We start from the raw sequence: 20430 nt of genomic DNA on the forward strand, positions 1-20430 counted from the left end.
TGACTGGACACACAGCTCTGTAGGGCACAAGTCCTTTTGCCTCTAATGTCCAATTAAGTCATTTCAGATTGTATATGTCATTACGACACTGCCACACATTAAGTAATCACAGAGTGACTAACTTCCAGATGTAAATTTGTCCTTCTACTCTCCACAGGAACCACCCATACTCTGTGTACCAACACCCCCAATGCCCTTCCCCCACCACACACACCTTTCCCAACACTCTATCCTCCACTGGCATATAATTACCTAAGTAATTCATACTGAAACTAGCAAAATGATGTAAACCAGGGGTTCCCAACCCCAAGGATGTGGACCGGTACCAGTCCATGGCATTAGGAACCAGGCTGCACAGCAGGAGGTGAGGAACGGGCGAGCATCACCCCCTGAGCTTCACCTCCTGTCAGATCATGGGTGGCATTAGATTCTCATAGAAGCACGAACCCTATTGTGAACTGTGCATGGAGGGATCTAGGTTGCTTGCTCCTTATGAGAATCTAATGCCTGATGATCTAAGGTGGCACAGTTTCATGCCAAAACCATTCCCCTACCACACCCTGCTGGTCCATGGAAAAATTGTCTTCCACAAAACCAGTCCCTGGTGCCAAAAAGGTTGGGGCCTGCTGATGTAAACAACTAGATTCATGGATGGTTGTGCTTTTGGTTTATATTAATTCCTCTGGATCTTTCATGAAATGAAAATCATTTGCTAGTAATTTAAAAGTTTTTCTTCTATAGATACTAACATGAAAATACAAGAAACATAAAACAGAGTTGTACAGGACTTTGTTAAAGTTATTATGGTTACATATAAACATTCATGAAAAGGGCAAAATTTTATCTTTAGAAGCCAGGAAATTGATCACACTAGCAAAGCAAGCTACTATAAAATTGGTGATGCTAAAAAGCTATTTGTTCCAGAACTGCAGGTGCCAGGTGGTAAGAAAATGCTTGTTAGTTTTCCTTTTGCTCTTATCTACCATAGCAGGTATCAAATTAAAGTGAGTAAATCCTTAAGCAAACTCTCTTTTTCATACTCCACCAATTAATTTTGTTATAAGGAAAACATGTTAGCTCTTCTTTTTCTCTGATAAAGAGATGGATGTGAATATTCTGAATTATCTATGTACTCACCGGCTCAAATGGCAAGACCATGTCATCTCTAATTCCATATTTTGCTCGTAAGGCCTACAGAAAAATTTGCAAGTTAACACTAATGATCAACACTTTACTGGGAGAATCATTGAGAGAAGCAATCTCCAAAGTTTCTTAAAAGTTTCTTTAAAGTTTCTATTTGTTCTCCTCTCCATAGAGAGCAATTTTCTAACTTTGCCAAATATCTCAAAAGGGATCTGTAACCTTCAAAAATTTAATAGCTAAAGTTATAGTGAATAGCCTAAATGAAACCACACAACCAAAAGCAAAAATGTACATAGACATACACATATCACTTAAATTGAGGTTCATATGCCAGATTTCAATGAAAATGTGAATATCAGAAAGCTTTTTCAAAATTCTGTGAACATATTTAAAATTCAAACCACAGAAAATATATTAACATCAAGAAACAAGTTAGAGATAGCAGTTTAAAGATAAATGCATAGCTTTTTAGCCTAGTCCCACAGCGTAGTTCAGCAGCACCTAAGCAATGAGATGGTGAGGACGAAATACAAACATGAAACTCAGATACTTACTTGCTTTTTCTTCAAGTCTCTGAGGGCAGCAATATCATCAGGGGAGTCGGAAGGAACACTTGTAACCACACCAGTGCCTTAGAAAACAAAGTGTGGAATTAATAACTAGAACCAAAATGTGTTTATCAAAATATTTCTAGAAATAAATAAACTCTTTACCTTTATCCTCCTTAATAGTTAGCATTGGGAGAACATAGATCACCTTGTATGATGTTAAAGGTGCAGAAAGTGATGCACCAAGAATTTCCTGCATAAGAAAAAAATCAATATAAAAGGTGAAGTAATTCATTGTGACCATTAGAATTAAAACTATGTTAATATTTTAAGCCCTGAGAAGCTAGTAATCAAAAATATATGGAAATAAATTCAAGAGCTATATTGTACAATATGGTGACTATAGGAAATAACAATGTATTTTATACTTGAAAATTGCTGTGTAGATTTTTTTAAGAGACAGAGCCTTGCTATGTTGCCAAGGCTAGAGTGTAGAGGCTATTCACAGGTGCTATCATAGCATTCTACAGGCTCAAGCTCCTGGGCTCAGGCAAGCCTCCTGAGGTCCCAGCCTCCCAAGTAGCTGGCTCTACAGGTGCATACCACTGCACCTGATTTAAATTTTAACTCTTCTCACCACAGAAAATGGTAAGTACGTAAGGTATAAATTTGTTAATTACCTCAATTTAGCCATTTCACAATGTATATATATTTCAAAACATATTGCGTACCATAAATACAATTTCTGTCAATTAAAAAATGAATACAGGCTGAGCGCGGTGGCTAACGCCTGTAAACCCAGCACTTTGGGATGCTGAGGCAGGCAGATTGCCTGAGCTTAGGAGTTCGCGACCAGCCTGGGCAACATGGTGAAACCCCGTCTCTACTAAAATACAAAAAATTAGCCAGGCGTGGTGGCATGCGCCTGTAGTCCCAGCTATTTGGAAGGCTGAGGCGGGAGAATTGCTTGAACCCGAGAGGTGGAGGTTGTAGTGAGCCAAGATCGTGCCACTGCACTCCAGCCTGGGTGACAGAGGGAGACCCCGTCTCAAAAAATAAAGAAAAGAATATAAATAAAATACATATGAAGTAAAACAAAACACATTATTTTATACCTACTAGAGGAAAAATAATTTTTTTTTTGAGATGGAGTTCTGCTCTTGTTACTCAAGCTGGAGTGCAATGGCATGATCTCGGCTCACTGCAACCTCCGCCTCCCAGGTTCCAGCGATTCCTGCCTCAGCCTCCCATGTAGCTGGGATTACAGGCATGCACCACCACGCCTGGCTAATTTCTGTATTTTTAGTAGAGACAGGGTTTCACCATGTTGGCCAGGCTGGTCTTGAACTCCTGACCCCAGGTGATCCACGCACCTCTGCCTCCCAAAGTGCTGGCATTACAGGCATGAGCCACCGTGCCCGTCCCGGAAAAATAATTTTTAATAATTATAATAACTAAATCTGTCAATATTATGACATGAGTACACTAATACATTGTTTGTGACATTGTACTCCTTGAAGAAAATATAGGAATCCACAGCAAAAGCCACAAAATGTTCATGTAACTCAGACTCAACAACAACTAATTATTTTTTCTTAAACAAGTCTACCCAATGCTGAGTTAATTATACTAGGAAAGCCTGGAAACAACTAAAGCTTTCAATGATAGAAAAAATGATTTAACAAAATATGTTACAAGAACAAGAATGGGTACTATACATCTATTTAAAATAGTAGTTATGAAGACAAAGTAAAAGGATAGTTCTAATTTCACTTGAAAAAATCCAAAAGATTAAGCAATTTTAGACCCAAATTCTCAGATGGCAACAAAGAATTTGCAGCTTCTTGCTCTAGCTAAGGAACACACTTTTCCTTTCCACATAATTCCCACCCACCCCTCTTTATTCATATATGTACTTATAACCTGCCTTTATAGAATTTGCAGTCATATGGATGACAGCTAAATATTATAACCATTTTAAATGTTGAAACTATTTTGCAATTTATAACATCCATGTCCCTCACGCCAGAATTTGCTCAAATTAACAGGGAGAAAAGTTGCATTAAGAATAGGAAAACATGTATGTCCCTAATACTGTTCCCAAGAACTTCTCAGACAAAATTCCAACATTAGGAACTAAAGAGATGTGGCAGTGCTGCTTTTAAAAGAAAAAGGCAGGAAACAATTCAAATATCCATTAATAGAGAATGGTTAAGTAAATTGTGGTACAACCAAACAATGAAATACTATGTAGCTATAAAAAATAAGAATAAAGAAGCTGTTTATGTACTGACAAAATGATTGCCAAGATACAAATTAAAAAGCAAGATGTGGTACAATGCATATAAAGTATATTGCCATTTGTGTAAAAACAGAGGGACAAAGAGTATGTGTGTATTCGCTTGTGTATACATGAAATATTACCAGGATACACAAGACACAGATATTACTAACTACCTCTAGAATGGGGAACTTTTGTATCTTTTTGCGTTTTTTGAATTTTGGGACTTGTAAATATACTGCAATCAAAGTATTAAATAAGGAATAAAATAGTTCAATTTAAAAGAATTGAGATGGTACTCTACTCATATTTTTCTTTTTAAAAAATTATTTAAGATACCAAAGATCAGCATTCACTAAATGGAATTAAACACACTCAGAAATATTGATAATACAGTAGATAAGGCTGGGTACAGTGGCTTACGCCTGTAATCCCTGCACTTTGGGAGGCCGAGGTGGGTGGATCACCCGAGGTCAGGAGTTCAAGACCAGCCTGGCCAACATGATGAAACCCTGTCTCTACTAAAAATACAAAAAATTAGCTGGGCGTGGTGGCCCGCACCTGTAATCCCAGCTACTCAGGAGGCTGAGGCAGGAGAATCGTTTGAACTCAGGAGGCAGAGGTGCAGTGAGCTGAGATCGCGCCACTGAACACCAGCCTGGGCAACAAGGGCAAAACTGTCTACAAAAAAAAAAATAAAAATAAAATAAAGTAGATGAGCTGTGTAACCATCCATATTTAATTAATATCAACCAAGACTTTCTTCACATGAAAAAAAAAAAAGGCAGCTACAATTCCAAATTTAGTATTACCAGGAATTCAGGTAATAGTATTTTTAAAATAATATAATGACTAATGCAGCTATTAAATCTCTTGGGGAGGACTGCCTATATTTTTCAACCAGATATTTACCGAGTTGAAACCTAAAAATAAAATATGCTATCTTAATGATACAGTCATACAATGAATATTACACAACAATAAAAAAAGAACTATTCCTACAACATGTATGAATCTCACAAACATAATGTTAAGCAAAAGAAGCTAGACACAAAACAGTCAGACTACACAATTCCATTATGTAAAGTTCAAGAACAACAACTAATCTTTGGTGAAGTCAGAGCAGTGGTTACCTTTGGAGGAGAGAGGTGAGTACTAATGATATGGACATGAGAGAGCCTTCTGGAGTGCTAAAACTGTTCTATATCTTGATTTAGGTGGTGTTTACGTAAGTGTATATACATATGAAAATGCACCAAAACACACAAGACTTACACAGTTTACTGCATGTACACCTCATTTTTTAAGGTTGTAATGCTCTTTTCTCAATATTCATTGTTGAAATTTTCCTTGAAATTTACGCATTAAAATAAAAAATCTGCTATCCAACTTACCTCCCCCATTAATTCCTTAACAACAGGCACCACGCCATTGTCTTTGGTAAAGCCCTGGTATGACATATTCCTGGCTGCTTTTTGGGTACAGATGAATATATCACCATTCACCGTCTCAAATCCAATGTACTTCATATCAGGACGAACCCAACAATTTGTCTGCCCAAACATGGTCTCAGGTCTGAGAGTAGCAGCCACCAAGAAAATATTTTTACCTTTCAGGCCACTGAGAAAAAAAAACAAATATTGATGTAAAAACATGTCAACTCTGTAACAACTATCTGATGGTTCAGAAATGATAAAGCAATTACTCTGGCAAACCTACCTTAATTTAGATGGGTATGGCTCAAGCACCTTCAATTTGAGTAAAGTATATTCCTGAGGTCCAACACCCTAAGCAAATAAACGATACAAAAATTTGAAGGAAAAAAAAGACTTGCCTTAAACCTACTAATCTATGTGAGAGATCTGATTCAAGTCCCTAAAATGGGTTCTTGCATTATTAATTTTTTTTTGCAGAGAAGAGATTGCCAGTGGTGTGCTAACTATACCCACACAGAAGTCTAGTACGTTAGGAGAGATTTGGAGTAATCGCCCAAAATAGTGTTTGCCAAAATGAAGGTGAGAAGACACAATCAACCCTAATTCCATCCCAGGGCATGTCCCACATAGTAGTCATCAAAGGAAGACACTAGACCAGAGGTCAGAGATAATGTGCTTTCTAAACTTAGTTTGCTCCCTTACTAATGGTTAGACCCAAGGTAGTCATAATCTCTCTAAGCCTTTCTTTCCTTATTGGTAAAATAAGGATGTTGCGTCTCAGATAGGACTGTCCTGAGGAACACACAAGATAACAGATGAAAAATGCTTTGAAAAATCTACAAAGGATTACTGAAATCTAGGATATTGCTGCCATTGGCTATATTAAAACTTTACTGGGTCTTAAGTCTCTCAAATCTTTTAAAATTTTGATCAACTCTCACTTAGATAAGTTACATCAAAATTGAAGGCTGATTTTGAAAATATGTTCAAAGATGGTAATAAAAAATGATGCAATCATAGGGAATCATAAGTTCAGATGCTGGCATTGTCATTGATTTTTACTTTGCCATGGATTTAGCCAAATCACTTACTCTTGATTTATTCAAGTATTTCAGAGAATAATGTTAATAATGTGTTCTACAGGAATTAGAATGAACTTCTAGGCATGGCTAGAATTACTTTGGAAATAAGCAAGAAGGCACATGATCAAAGCAAATATAACTGGAATCTGTGTATATCAAATCTTGGTCACATATCTTATTACCTCTCCCCATGCTTTCTTTTTAGAGCTGTTTATTTTCCAGATGGTGCTTCACAACATTAGCATGCATATACATCACATTGAGAGCTCGTAAAAAGATATTCCTGGAGGCCGGGCACGGTGGCTCACGCCTGTAATCTCAGCACTTTGGGAGGCCAAGGCGGGCAGATCACGAGGTCAGGAGATCGAGACCATCCTGGCTAACACGGTGAAACCCCGTCTCTACTAAAAATACAAAAAATTAGCTGGGTGTGGTGGTGGGCACCTGTAGTCCCAGCTACTCGGGAGGCTGAGGCAGGAGAATGGCGTGAACCCAGGAGGCAGAGCTTGCAGTGAGCCGAGATAGCACCACTGCAGTCCGGTCTGGGCTAAAGAGCAAGACTCCGTCTGAAAAAAAAAAAAAAGATATTCCTGGGCCCCACCCCCAGAACTTTTGATTCAGCAATTTTGGGGTGAGGCTAAACAATGTGCTTTCCTGTAACAAACTGATGCAGCTGTCCTCACATGACTCTTAGGATAGCTAGGTACTACACAAGATACAGGTACCTGTATTGATATTCTATCTCCTCTTCATATCCACCAGAGTATCAGGACTACATCCCTCAGCACTACAAAGAAGTTATTTTTAGGTTTCTATTTCTTAAACTCTATAGTCTTATTAAGGATTATTATAATAGCTACTCTGTCTCACAAATAATCACCTCTCCAGTTTGTCTATCATGATCCATGCAAGGCTGTCCATCTTTCGGAGAGTAAATTGTATACCTAAAAAATAAACAAAAAGTGACAAACATTATTATAATATTCACGTTTTATCCTACCATATTTGCCTGTGTTGCACCTAATTTCTTACATGTCTTGCAACTAGAATTTCTGAGTAGATATCTGTGTCTATTATGTGTACTCTTATGGTAGTTCCACTGTCAACCTACTTATTTAATGAAAGCTTTCTATCTTCGTCAAAGGTAATACCACTGAAAAATACACACTGATCTTGGCTTTGTGGTATTGAACAAAAGATTATAAAACATAAATTGACTTAACAAATGAAACTATCAGGAAGTTGATTATGTAGATTAATCAAGGAAGATAACTTATTTTCATTTCTTAAGTTATCTTCCTTGATTAATCTACATAATCAAGGAAGAATCTTAATTTGTAGAACAAAGTATAAAATAAAACACAAATCAAATGATTACTTTTTCTGCTTGGCAGGGAATACTGAACATAATCTTTAGTAAGATAATAAAAGCCCACCCTCCCATTCTCCCTGGTTATATCTGTCATAAACACTAAGCAGCTCAGAGAAATTAAGACACTGGTAAGGAAAAAAGGAAAACAAAGGATACAAAAGAATAGAAACAACATATTTTAAAACCTGAAAGGTAATGGGAAAAGGTAGGCTACAAGGTATTTATTTATTCATGTAAGCAATCCTCCTGCCCCATCCTCTCAAGTAGCTAGGACTACAGGTGCATGCCACCATGCCTGGCTAATTTTTTTTTTTATATAAAGAGATGTGGTCTCGCTATGTTGCCCAGGCTGGTCTCAAACTCCTGGCCTCAAGCAATCCCCTCACCTCAGTTTCCCAAAGCACTGGGATTACAGGCGTGAGCCTCTGTGCCCAACTGATTTTTGCTTTATTATGCTCAAGTATAACAAACTTACCGCTTCCCAAATTTAATTTTGTTTCTTTCTCTTAATGTTAAAAATTGCCATCTGACAAATGAATCATAGTAAGGATTAACATCAGTGGTGATGAAGGAACGACGCCAGTCTACCTATAAAAGGAAAATTTTAAAAGGCAATTACTGAGAAATACACAAATTTTGTTTAAATAAGAATTCCTATGAATCAATTATTTACTCTTCTAACTTAGAATCAGATCAACTATTAAAAATAATTTTCCAAGTTCCACTATTAAAAGTATATCACAATTACTTTAATTTACTTAAAGTATATTTTTAAGCATATACATATACATATTAACAAACATATAGAAGCTATAATAAATTAAGAAGAAACATTTAATCCTACCTTTATGTATTCCTAAATATTCAAGTTAAACTTGGGCTTCTTCATATTCTTTGAATAAAGCTCCTTTCTACTAATTGTTAATATGTCAATATACATTCTAATTCAACAAATAGTGAAGTATTCATTGTTATGAGACCCATAGGCAATGTTAGGTTCTAGTCTAACAATAACAGTACTAATTCTTTAGTGGCATACAGGGGAAATATATTATTCTAAAATTAGGAATTGGTCCAAATCTCATATAATCACACAAATATACAGACATATCTGGGAGATATTGTGGGTTTGGTTCTAAACCACCACAACAAAACAAGTCACACAAATTTTTTGATTTCCCAAGGCATATATAAGTTATGTTTATACTATATTGAATTATGTTAAGTGTGCAATAAAGTTATATTTAAAAAGACAATGTATATACCTTAATTTTAAAATACATCATTGCTATAAAATGCTAATAATCATCTGAGCCTTCAGTTGAGTTGTAATCTTTGTGCTGGTGGAGAGTCTTGCCTCGATGACGGCTGCTGACTGATGAGAGAAGTGGCTACTGAAGGTTGTGATGGCTATGGCAATTTCTTAAACTAAGACAACAATGAAGTTTGCCACATCCATTGACTCTTCCTTTCACAAAGATTTCTCTGTAGCATGCGATGCTGTCTGATAGCATTTTACTCATAATAGAACTTTCAAAACTGGGAGTGGGCCGGGCATGGTGGCTCATGCCTGTAATTCCAGCACTTTGGGAGGCCAAGGCAGGCGGATCACTTGAGGTCGGGAGTTCGAGACCAGCCTAACCAACATGGAGAAACCCCGTCTCTACTAAAACAAACAAACAAACAAAAAATACAAAATACAAAATTAGCCAGGTGTAGTGGCGCATGCCTGTAATCCCAGCTACTAGGGAGGCTGAGGCAGGAGAATCACTTGAACCCGGGAGGCGGAGGTTGCAGTGAGTCGATATCATGCCATTGCACTCCAGCCTGGGCAACAAGAGCAAAACTCCATCTCAAAAAAAAAAAAAAAATTTGGAGTGAATCCTCTCAAAACCTGCTACTGCTTTATCAACTAAAGTTTATGTGATATTCAAAATCTTTGTCATTTCAACAATGTTCACTGCACCTTTACCAGAAGTAGACTCCATCTCAAGAAACTACTTTTTTTGCTCATCCGTAAGAAGCGAATCCTCATCCATTCAAGTTTTCTCATGAGATTATAGCAATTCAGGCTTATCTTCAAGCTCCACTTGTAATTCTAGTTCTCTTGCAATTTCTACCACATCTGCAGTAACCTCCTCCCCTGAAGTCTTGAACCTTTCAACGTCATCCATAAGAGTTAAAATCAGCTTCTTCCAAACTCCTGTTAATGTTGATATTTTGACCTCTTCCCATGAATCATGAATGTTCTTAATGGCATCTAGAACAATGAATCCTTTCCAGAAGGTTTTCTATTTACTTTGCCCAGATCCATCAGAGGAATTACCATCTATGACTGTTATAGCCTTATAAAATGTATCTCTTAAATAAGAAGACCTACAAGTCAAATGACTCCTTGATTCATGGACTGCAGAATGAATGTTGTGTTTGCAGGCATAAAAACATTCATCTCCTTGTATATCTCCATCAGAGCTTTTGAGTGATTGGGTGCATTGTCAATGAACAGTAATATTTTGAAAGAAATTTTTTTTTTTCCTGAGCAGTAGGTCTCAAGAGTGGGCTTAAAACATTCACCAAACCATGCTTTAAACAGATGTGCTGTCACCCAGGCTTTATTTTTCCATTTACAGAGCATAGAGTAGATTTGGCACCATTCTTAAAGGCCTTAAAATTTTCCAAATGGTAAATGAGCACTAGTTTCAACTTAAAGTCAGTAGACACATTAGCCTCTAACAAGAATCAGCCCATCGTTTAAGCCAGACACTGACTTCTCTCTAGCTATGGAAGTCTTACAGCATCTTAATCACTAGAGGAAAGCTGTTTTGTCTACATAGAAAATCTGTTGTTTAGCGTAGCCACTTTCATCAATGATCTTAGCTAGATCCCCTAAATAACTTGCTGCAGCTTCTACATCAGCATTTGCTGCTTCACCTTGCAGCAGAGTCTCGCTCTTGTTGCCCAGGCTGGGTTGCAATGGCGCAGCCTCAGCTCACTGCAACCTCCTGGGTTCAAGCAATTCTCCTCCTTCAGCTTCCCAAGTAGCTGGGATTATAGGAGCCCGCCACCATACCCAGCTAATTTTTGTATTTTTAATAGAGACAGGGTTTCCCCAGGTGGCCAGGCTGGTCTCGAACTCCTGGCCTCAGGTGATCCACCCACCTTGGCCTCCCAAAATGCTGGGATTGCAGGCATGAGCCACCACACCCAGGCTACAACTTGCACTTTTCTATTATGGAAATGGCTTCTTTCCTTAAACCTTAAGAACTAACCTCTGCTAGCCTCCAACTTCTCTTCTGCATCTTCCTCACCTCCCCCAGCCTTTACAGAATTGAAGAGTTAGGGACTTCCTCTGGATTAGGGTTTGGCTGAAGGAAATGTTGTGGCTGGTTTGATCTTCTATATGGACCAAACTTTCTCCATATCTGCAATAAGGTCACTTCATTTTCTTATCATTCATGTGTTTACTGGAGAAGCACCTTTCATCTCCTTCAAGAACTTTTCTTTGGGCCAGGTTCAGTGGCTTATGCCTATAATCCCAGCACTTTGGGAGGCTGAGATGGGCAGATCACCTGAGGTCAGGAGTTCAAGAACAGCCTGGCCAACATAGTGAAACCTCGTCTCTACTAAAAATACAAAAATTAGCCAGGCGTGTTGGCAGACGCCTGTAATCCCAGCTACTCGGGAGGCTGAGGCAGAAGAATAGCTTGAACCCGGGAGGCGGAGGTTGCCGTGAGCCGAGATCACACCACTGCACTCCAGCCTGGGTGACAGAGCGAGACTCCATCTCAAAAAAACAAACAAAAAAAAAGAACTTTTCTTTGCATTCATAACTTGGCTGACTGTTTGGCACAACAGGCCTAGCATTTAGCCTATCTTGCCTTTCAACATGCCTTCCTCACTAAGCTTAATCATTTCTAGCTTTTTACTTAAAATGATGAGAGACATGTGACTCTCCCTTTCACATGAACACTTAGAGGCCATTATAAGGTTAATAACTGGCTTCAAGATTGTTGTTTATTAGAAAACAGGGAAAACCAAGGAGAGAAAGAGGGAAACAAGCCAGTCAGTGGAGCAGTCAGAACACAAACATTTACCAATTAAGTTTGCCACCTTATATGGGTACAGTGTGTGGCAACCCAAAACAATTAGAATAATAACATCAAAGATCACTGAATATAGATCACCATAACAGATAATAATAAAGTTTGAAATATTAAAATAATTGCCAAAATGTGACATGAAGTAAGCAAATGCTGTTGGAAAAATGGTGCCACTAGACTTGCTCAACGCAGGGTTGCCACAAATCTTCAATTGTAAAAAAAATCCATGTCTGGAAAGCACAATAAAGCAAAGCACAATAAAAAAGCACATACTTGTAAATGCTTTCCTCATATTTCCTTTATAGACATACCTTCAAACCCATTCTTTTTAAATCCTGAATAGCCAGTGGCGGGAAATAATCAAGCCAATGTTCTGCTTCAGAAAATTTTACTATCTCTTCATCAGACAGGCCAAGGGATTTCATAATGCCCCACTGGTATTTAGAAGATCCAGCTTTAGCAGCAGCTTTACTCTGAAAATAATGGAGAAAAATAAACTCGATCAAAGAATAACCAACACTCCAGGAAAATGACCCAAGATATTAATGAATGTAATTTTTTTACATTCTAAAATAATGCTGATACATCAGAACACTGCAGGAATTAGTTGTACTATTAGTCTGTACTAAAAGTACTAGTCTGTACTAAATAGTACTAATTTAGTCTGTCAAACTGTATAGCCAAGATATCCGCCAAGACACTGGCACCAATAATAACTAAATGGATGGCAACATAAAGAACTACCCATTATGAAGATAAGATCTCAATACCAAACCTTCTGTTTCTTTTATCCTAATACCACATTTACCTTATTTACCTATAAAGAGGCTACTCATAAGACTTTCCTCCTTTTCCAAAAATTATGAATATCCAAGAGACAACCAAATGCCAGAAGTTGAAGGTAGGAAATTTGGTTAAACTGTAACACTATAATGAGGCAGCATAAGAAAATTTTGAGGATGACAGAATTGCTCTATATGATACTGTGCTGGTAGAAACATGACTCCAGGCATTTTCAAACTCACAGAATTATACACCACAAAGAGGAAATTTTGGGCCTGGCACAGTAGCTCACACCTGTAATATCAGCACTTTGGGAGGCCGAGGCAGGCAGATCACGAGGTCAGGACTTCGAGACCAGCCTGGCCAATGTGGTGAAACCCCATCTCTACTAAAAATACGAAAATTAGCCGGGCATGGTGGCAAGCGCCCGTAATCCCAGCTACCCTGGAGGCTGAGGCAGGAGAATCACTTGAACCGGGAGGCGGAGGTTGCAGTGAGCCGAGACTGTGCCACTGTACTTCAAAGCCCAGGTGACAGAGAGAGACTCCATCTCAAACAACAACAACAACAATAATAAAAATAATAACAATAATACAAAAATTAGCTGGGCGTGGTGGCACACACCTGTAATCCCAGCTATTTGGGAGACTAAAACATGAGAATTGCTTGAACCCAGGAGGCAGAGGTTGCAGTGAGCCAAGACTCCACCACTGTACTCCAGCCTGGGTGACAGAGCAAGACTATGTCTTGAAAAAAACAAAAAAAAAAGTAAATTTTATGGTATGTAAATTTTTAAAAAATTCAACCACGATGCTGAAGGAACCTGAGGAATGCAGACTGTGACAAATCTATCTAACTGCATTACAAATATATGATATAACCACACTCAAGGGGGAGGGAAGAAAGGAGCTGATCTAGGCAGTTTTGGAAAACAGTGTGATTAGATTCTAAAGACAAAAAGAATTACACACAAACACTGTACTTTTGTCAGTAAAATTGTTTCTCCCAGGGGTATAGGTTGGCAATTCTGAAACTACTAGTAGTCTAGGATGGAACAAATAAAGAAATATACTATAGGTAATGAGAGCCAAGTTTCTCACTGTTGTAGTAAGAAGTCACAAATAAGCCAAGGGAAAATGCTAGAATGAGACCCATGGTGCTAAAATGGAGCCAGGGGTATCAATATGAACTTACTTGTTTTTTAATAAACATTCAAATACATAAAGAAATAAAAACAGATGTGTATGCATGGCTTAGCAGACATAAATATATTTCCTTGCTCTGTCCACTGAGAGTGCCTAGAAGCAGTGATACCCCCAGGCAATGAGCACACCCAGCATTCAGGCCATAGTTTCTGAACACCATTCTTCAATAAAAGAAACCTTGGAGAAGTGGTTGATTCCTTGGTTGAATCACGGAAAATACAAGCCTGGAACAGCTTGTGACACCATAAAGAAAGCAATTGCTTTGAACAAAGGAAGATGAGGGAATGTCTAATGGACACAGGAGCCAAGCTAAAAAAACTCCCAATGGCCACAGCTAGAACAATTTATTTATTCTAGCTTTATTCTAATAAAAAAGAACAATTTGACAACAAATTACGGTGTTGTTAACAACCACACACACACACTCAAAAACAACCCAATAGCCAGGCACAGAGGTATAAGCCTATAGTTCCAGCTACTCAGGAGACTGAGGTGAGAAGACAGCTTGAGCCCCAGAGCTGAAGACCAGCAACATAGTGAGACTCCATCTCTTAAAAAACAAAAAGCTCAATGGTATTGGCTTATAACCTGAAGAATAAAGTGAATATCCATGAATCCATATGACATAGAAAGGACAGATTAAGTAAGTGGGGGAGAAAGGACAGCTCTTCTTTTCAGAGGAATTATAGATAATAAATGTAAAAAGAAAGAGGAAAATGGAAAATCATGATTAGAAGACTAGAGTAATAATTGTTGTAGGCAAGATCCACTGATGAATGCTAAAATTAATGAGCAAATATTTAAAAAGAAACACAGTATTATTTCCATGGCCTCAAAAGATCTCTCCCAAAATATATATTAATTATTTAAAAAAAAATGAAATCTTTACAGGAGAAAAACCTGGCAGACGCCATCTTAACCAAATGATCAATGTTAACATCACCAATAATAAGACATATCAGTATCATATACTCCCTAACGCTTGAGAACGACAAATTACCTAATAGTCTTCCTCCAAATCAATAACCTCAATCTAACGATGAGAAAGCATCAAACAAACTCAAACTGAGGCATTATCTATAATTATCTGACCCGTATTCGTTAAAAGTATAAAGGTCATAGAAGAAAACGAAAGACAGAAAAGATTAAGGAAACATAGTAAGGACACATGACAACTAACTGCAATGTGGGATCCTGGATTGGACATTGGAAGAGAAAAGGACATTAGTGAAAAAACTGGTAAAATCCAAAAAGTCTGTAGTTTAGTAAACACTACTGTACTAATGTTAATTCCTTAATTTGAAAAATAGTATCATAGTTATATAAGATTTAACATCTATATACTATCTTGCAGTTCTTCTGTAAATCTAAAATTACTTCAAAAAAGAGGAAAAAGGAAATAGGAAAGTCAGAAAGATAATTTTTTTTTTTTTTTGAGACAGAGTCTCGCTCTGTTGCCCAGGCTGGAGTGCAGTGGCGTGATCTGGGCTCACTGCAAGCTCCACCTCCAGGGTTCACGCCATTCTGATGCCTCAGCCTCCCGAGTAGCTGGGAATACAGGCGCCCACCACCACGCCCGGCTAATTTTTTGTAGAGATGGGGTTTCACCATGTTTGCCAGGATGGTCTCGATCTCCTGACCTCGTGATCCGCCCGCCTTGGCCTCCCCAAGTGCTGGGATTACAGGCGTGAGCCACCACGCCCGGCTAATTTTTTTGTATTTTTAGTAGAGACGGGGTTTCACCATGTTAGCCAGGATGGTCTCGATCTCCTGACCTCATGATCCGCCCGCCTCGGCCTCCCCAAGTGCTGGGATTACAGGCGTGAGCCACCGCGCCCGGCCTACGACCGGCTTACGCCCGGCTAATTTTTGTATTTTTAGTAGAGACGGGGTTTCACCATGTTAGCCAGGATGGTCTCGATCTCCTGACCTCATGATCTGCCTGCCTCGGCCTCCCAAAGTGCTGGGATTACAGGCTTGAGCCACCGCGCCTGGCCAGAAAGATAATTTTTTGCTTTGATACTTTAAAAAAATGATCTAGTACATTTTATGTGTTGGGCACTGTGCTAGTACTGGGAATGCACATATAAATCAGAAAAATATAAAACTTCAACCAACATAAATATCAACCACTATCAAACCTTTTTTCCTTTAGCTTTATCCTTAATTATTATATCTTCTGTTTTAACACTGGTTTCTTCCTCTTCCTCTTCTTCATCTGGAAAATCAGGGGGGCAACCATACAGCTCTATTTCTCTTTTCAACTTATCAGCACATGCCTACAACGAATATTAGAGATAATGAAGTTCAAAATCAAGGTAGACACAATTTCAGTTTTTTACTGTTTTTATTGCCAACTAAAATTGACTCTGAAATTTTTTGCAATATATTGATACCTATGTGGCTCCACTACAGAAAACTGAAACGGAGGCTGGGAGCAGTGGCTCACGCCTATAATCCCAGCACCTTGGGAGGCTGAGGCAGGCAGATCACTTGTCAGGAGTTCGAGACCAGCCTGGCCAACATGATGTCTCTACTAAATATAAAAATTAGCTGGGTGTGGTAGCACACGCCTGTAATCCCAGCTACTTGGGAGGTTGAGGTGACAGGATCACTTAAAACCAAGAGGCAGAGGGTGCAGTGAGCCGAGATCACATCACTGCACTCTAGCCTGGGCAACAAAGCAAGAATGAGTCCCATGTCTCAAAAAAATAAAATTAAATTAAAAAAAGGTATAAATCATGTACCTCAAAATTCACTAATTTATAAAGTAGTATTTTACCTAATTTACTCAAAAACATTTATTCAACACCCAGAATATTCAATATAGTATACTATATACCATATATATTAGATATATAAAGATGTAGGAAACATAATGTGTTATCATTTTGGATAACATTAATAACATTGTTTCTCAATTTAAAGATTACTGTCAGGAGGGGGGAGGGATAGCATTAGGAGATATACCTAATGTAAATGACGAGTTAATGGGTGCAGCACACCAATATGGCACATGTATACACATGTAACAAAGCTGCACATTGTGCACATGTACCCCAGAACTTAAAGTATAATAATAAAAAATAAATAAAAACAAAAATAAAATCCCACCAGCAAGAAAGAAAGAAAGAAAGAAAGATAGATTACTGTCACATATACTCTATTAGTTATCATCACAAGCCTACCAAGTAGATAGGATAGGCTTTAAGTCAGAAAACAAACAGAGATGAAGTGATTTACCCAAGGTCATACAGCTAGCAAAGTTACAGACTTAACCTTGGACTTTCCACTCTAGCTCTTATCAATTATACCACAATGAGTCCACTGTCAAAAACAAAGATGACACCAAGTAAACACTGTTAAAGTTATGAGAAAAATAAGAAATACAGAAGTAAAAATTTTTTAAATGGAAAAGGCTCTTCTATTCAGAAGAATTTCAACCACTAATAGAATAATAAAAACAGGCAAGGATGATTAAAGGATGATAAAACCAGGGTTATTGAGTAACAGGACATTCAGAGGCTCTCAAAGTGTTATCCTATAGATTACTTTTTAATTTCTTTCTTTTTTTTTTTTGAGATGGAATTTTACTCTTGTTGCCCAGGCTGGAGTGCAATGGCGCAGTTTCGGCTCACTGCAACCTCTACTTCCCGGGTTCAAGCGATTCTCCTGACATAGCCTCCGAAGTAGCTGGAATTACAGGCACCTGCCACCACGCCCGGCTAATTTTTGTATTTTTAGTAGAGATGGGGTTTCACCACGTTGGCCAGGCTGGTTTTGAACTCCTGACCTCATGTGATCCTCCTGCCTCGGCCTCCCAAAGTGCTGGGATTACAGGCGTGAGCCACCGTGTCTGGCCTTACTTTTTAATTTTATAGGAGGAAAAGTCACCTTTAGAATGAGGAAACCTGGCAGGATTAACTTAATTTCACTAAATGGGACAAATTACCATTTTATATGCTTTTGAGGTGATACAATGGTAAGTTAATACCTCAACAATGAAGTATTCTTGTCAAAATATTTAGCCCAACCCTAATCATGAAAAAACAATCAGAAAACTCATATCATAGGACATTCTACAAAATAACTAGCTTAGACTTCAAAAACATCAATATCACGACAAACAACTAAAAGACAGTGAAAAGAATGGATAATTACATGCAATGTGTGCTCCACAAAATAAAAAGTGAAAAACAGCAGGGCATAGTGGGTCAAGCCTGTAATCTCAGCACTGTGGGAAGCCAAGGCAGGCGGATCACCTAAGGTCAGGAGTTCGAGACCAGCCTGCCCAACATGGTGAAACCCTGTTTACACTAAAAATACAAAAAACATTAGCCAGGCATGGTAGCAGGCACCTGTAATCCCAGATATTCAGGAGGCTGAGGCAAGAGAATCACTTGAACTTGGGAGGCAGATGTTGCAGCAAGCCAAGATCTCACCACTGCACTCCAGACTGAGTGACAGAGCAAGATTCCGTCTCAAAAAAAAAAAAGGGGGGAAAAACAGATGGAAAGGACATTTTGAGTCTACAGAAATTTGACTACAGATTAGATGAAGACGATAATATAACATCAATGTTGAATTTCTTGGAGGGGATAACAGGACTCTGATAATGTAGAAGAATGCCCTTGTTCTTAGAATACATGCTGAAGTATTTAGCAATGACACGTCATGATATCTGCAACTTTCTTTCAAAAAGTTCACAGAAAAAGAGAGAGAGAAGGGCTAGGCGTGGTGGCTCATGCCTGTAATCCCAGCACTTTGGGAGGCCGAGGTGGGCAGATTACCTGAGGTCAGGAGTTTGAAACCAGCCTGGCCAACATGGTGAAACCCCATCTGTACTAAAAGTACAACACTGCACTCCAGCCTGGGTGACAGAGCAAGACTCCAACTCAGAAAAAAAAAAAAGAAGAAAAAGAAAGAGAAAAGCACGCATGCATGCATGTGTGCTAAGAGACAGAACTAAAACAAATATGGCAAACGTTAAGACTTTGTAACTACAGGTGAAGGGTGGAGGGTGTTCATTGTACTACCATTCCACTTTTTCTGTAGGATTGACATTCTTTAAAATAAAAGGTTGCAGAAGGCCGGGCATGGTGGCTCACGCTTGTAATCCCAGCACTTTGGAAGGCCGAGGTGGGTGGATCAACTGAGGTCAGGAGTTCCAGAACAGCCTAGCCAACACGGGGAAACCTCGTCTCTACTAAAAATACAAAAATTAGCCAGGTGTGGTGGCGGGTGCCTGTAATCCCAGCTACTCGGGAGGTTGAGGCAGGAGAATCGCTTGAACCCAGGAGAAGGAGGTTGCAGTTAGCCAAGATCACACCATTGCACTGCAGCCTGGACGACAAAAGCAAAACTCCGTCTCAAAAAAAAAATAAAATAAAGTAAAATAAAATAAAATGTTGGAGAATAAAAAGAAATAGGATTTAAATTTCCTAATCCTATTATATAAAGGAATCCTTTCAACTCTAGTTTTCTTTCCTATTCTTCATTGAGAATTATTTCTAATACAAACTTATGACAAATGAAGATATTTGCAAAAATGATCAAAATACAATACAACTGTTTATTATTTTATGCCGGCATCTTACATATGTCATAAGTGCACAATGGCTGTACATTTTTCTTTTTAGTAAAACAGAATCAGTTATTACCTAACTGTAATACAGACATAAATACACAAGGTAACCAAAAGACATTAAAATCACTTAGTAATCACTTAGACCATAATGGATGCCCTTTATTTAAGCACTTCTTCACATGTTGTTTATTTTTAAATTAATTTTCACTATAATAAATTCAACTCATTTCATACTTTAATGCAGCAATACTTAAAAATCCTTTTAAGCTCTTGAATTGGGTATTACTATTTGCTCCAACTAAAAAGAGTAGAAACCAATCCTATTAGCGATCTTACCTTAATAGGCATTCCAGTACAGTGCAGGCCAAAGGGAAACAGACAACATTTTCCTTTCAATCGCTGGTACCCTACAGCAAACTACAGAAATAAAATTAAATTTAAATTGCAAATTTAAATGCCAGACAAATACAAAATGTGAACTTTTCACACAAAAAAATTAGTTTTCTTCTTTACATCCTCCTTTGGAATGCCAGTTAGATTTTAGGCATCCCAAAACTCACCAACCTAGGAATTACTTTTGAATATGCATACATGCCCAGACCCTTGCACACATACACATATGGCACATAAAAATTAAATATAAAAATTAAATTACTTAAATGGGCCAGGCACGGTGGCTCATGCCTATAATCCCAGCACTTTCAGAGGCCGAGGCTGGTGGATCACAAGGTCAAGAGTTTGAGACCATCCTGGCCAATATGGTGAAATCCCGTGTCTACTAAAAATACAAAAATTAGCTGGGCGTGGTGGTGCGTGCCTGTAGTCCCAGCTACTCGGGAGGCTGAGGCAGAAGAATCACTTGAACCCAGGAGGCAGAGGTTGCAGTGAGCTGA

The 20430-nt window shown here is 38.4% G+C and overlaps 1 protein-coding gene across 5 annotated transcripts in view, besides 3 other annotated features; it reads right to left on the bottom strand.

Moving 5' to 3' along the window:
* Positions 1–20430, bottom strand: part of LARS1 (leucyl-tRNA synthetase 1) — a 69617-nt gene that overhangs the window by 39003 nt on the left and 10184 nt on the right. For 3 of the 5 annotated variants that reach the window (XM_011537656.4, NM_001317965.2, NM_020117.11), the window contains 10 exons: positions 19874–19954; positions 16092–16229; positions 12274–12435; positions 8338–8450; positions 7371–7434; positions 5692–5759; positions 5367–5592; positions 1857–1944; positions 1698–1774; positions 1138–1191 (listed from right to left, as the gene is read on the bottom strand). In XM_011537656.4, coding sequence (XP_011535958.1) covers positions 1138–1191; positions 1698–1774; positions 1857–1944; positions 5367–5592; positions 5692–5759; positions 7371–7434; positions 8338–8450; positions 12274–12435; positions 16092–16229; positions 19874–19954 — 1071 coding nt within the window. The remainder of the gene's footprint in view (positions 1–1137; positions 1192–1697; positions 1775–1856; positions 1945–5366; positions 5593–5691; positions 5760–7370; positions 7435–8337; positions 8451–12273; positions 12436–16091; positions 16230–19873; positions 19955–20430) is intronic. The other 2 variants (NM_016460.4, NM_001317964.2) reach the window with 2 other exon arrangements.
* Positions 17584–17753: an enhancer, noted in NCBI's record as "experimental_81571 CRE fragment used in MPRA reporter constructs". NCBI's record gives its function as "activates a minimal promoter by MPRAs in K562 erythroleukemia cells, with activity observed for both the introgressed and non-introgressed 5:145549268 variant alleles {active_cell/tissue: K562}" and the evidence as "EXISTENCE:reporter gene assay evidence [ECO:0000049][PMID:34662402]".
* Positions 18984–19153: an enhancer, noted in NCBI's record as "experimental_81576 CRE fragment used in MPRA reporter constructs". NCBI's record gives its function as "activates a minimal promoter by MPRAs in K562 erythroleukemia cells, with activity observed for both the introgressed and non-introgressed 5:145550668 or rs62373801 variant alleles {active_cell/tissue: K562}" and the evidence as "EXISTENCE:reporter gene assay evidence [ECO:0000049][PMID:34662402]".
* Position 19069: a transcriptional cis regulatory region, noted in NCBI's record as "Neanderthal adaptively introgressed variant 5:145550668 (GRCh37/hg19 assembly coordinates) or rs62373801 in the experimental_81576 CRE". NCBI's record gives its function as "modulates activity of the experimental_81576 enhancer by MPRAs in K562 erythroleukemia cells {active_cell/tissue: K562}" and the evidence as "EXISTENCE:reporter gene assay evidence [ECO:0000049][PMID:34662402]".

The sequence above is a fragment of the Homo sapiens genome, chromosome 5, assembly GCF_000001405.40.
Source record: "Homo sapiens chromosome 5, GRCh38.p14 Primary Assembly".
Classification (NCBI taxonomy): Eukaryota; Metazoa; Chordata; class Mammalia; order Primates; family Hominidae; genus Homo; species Homo sapiens.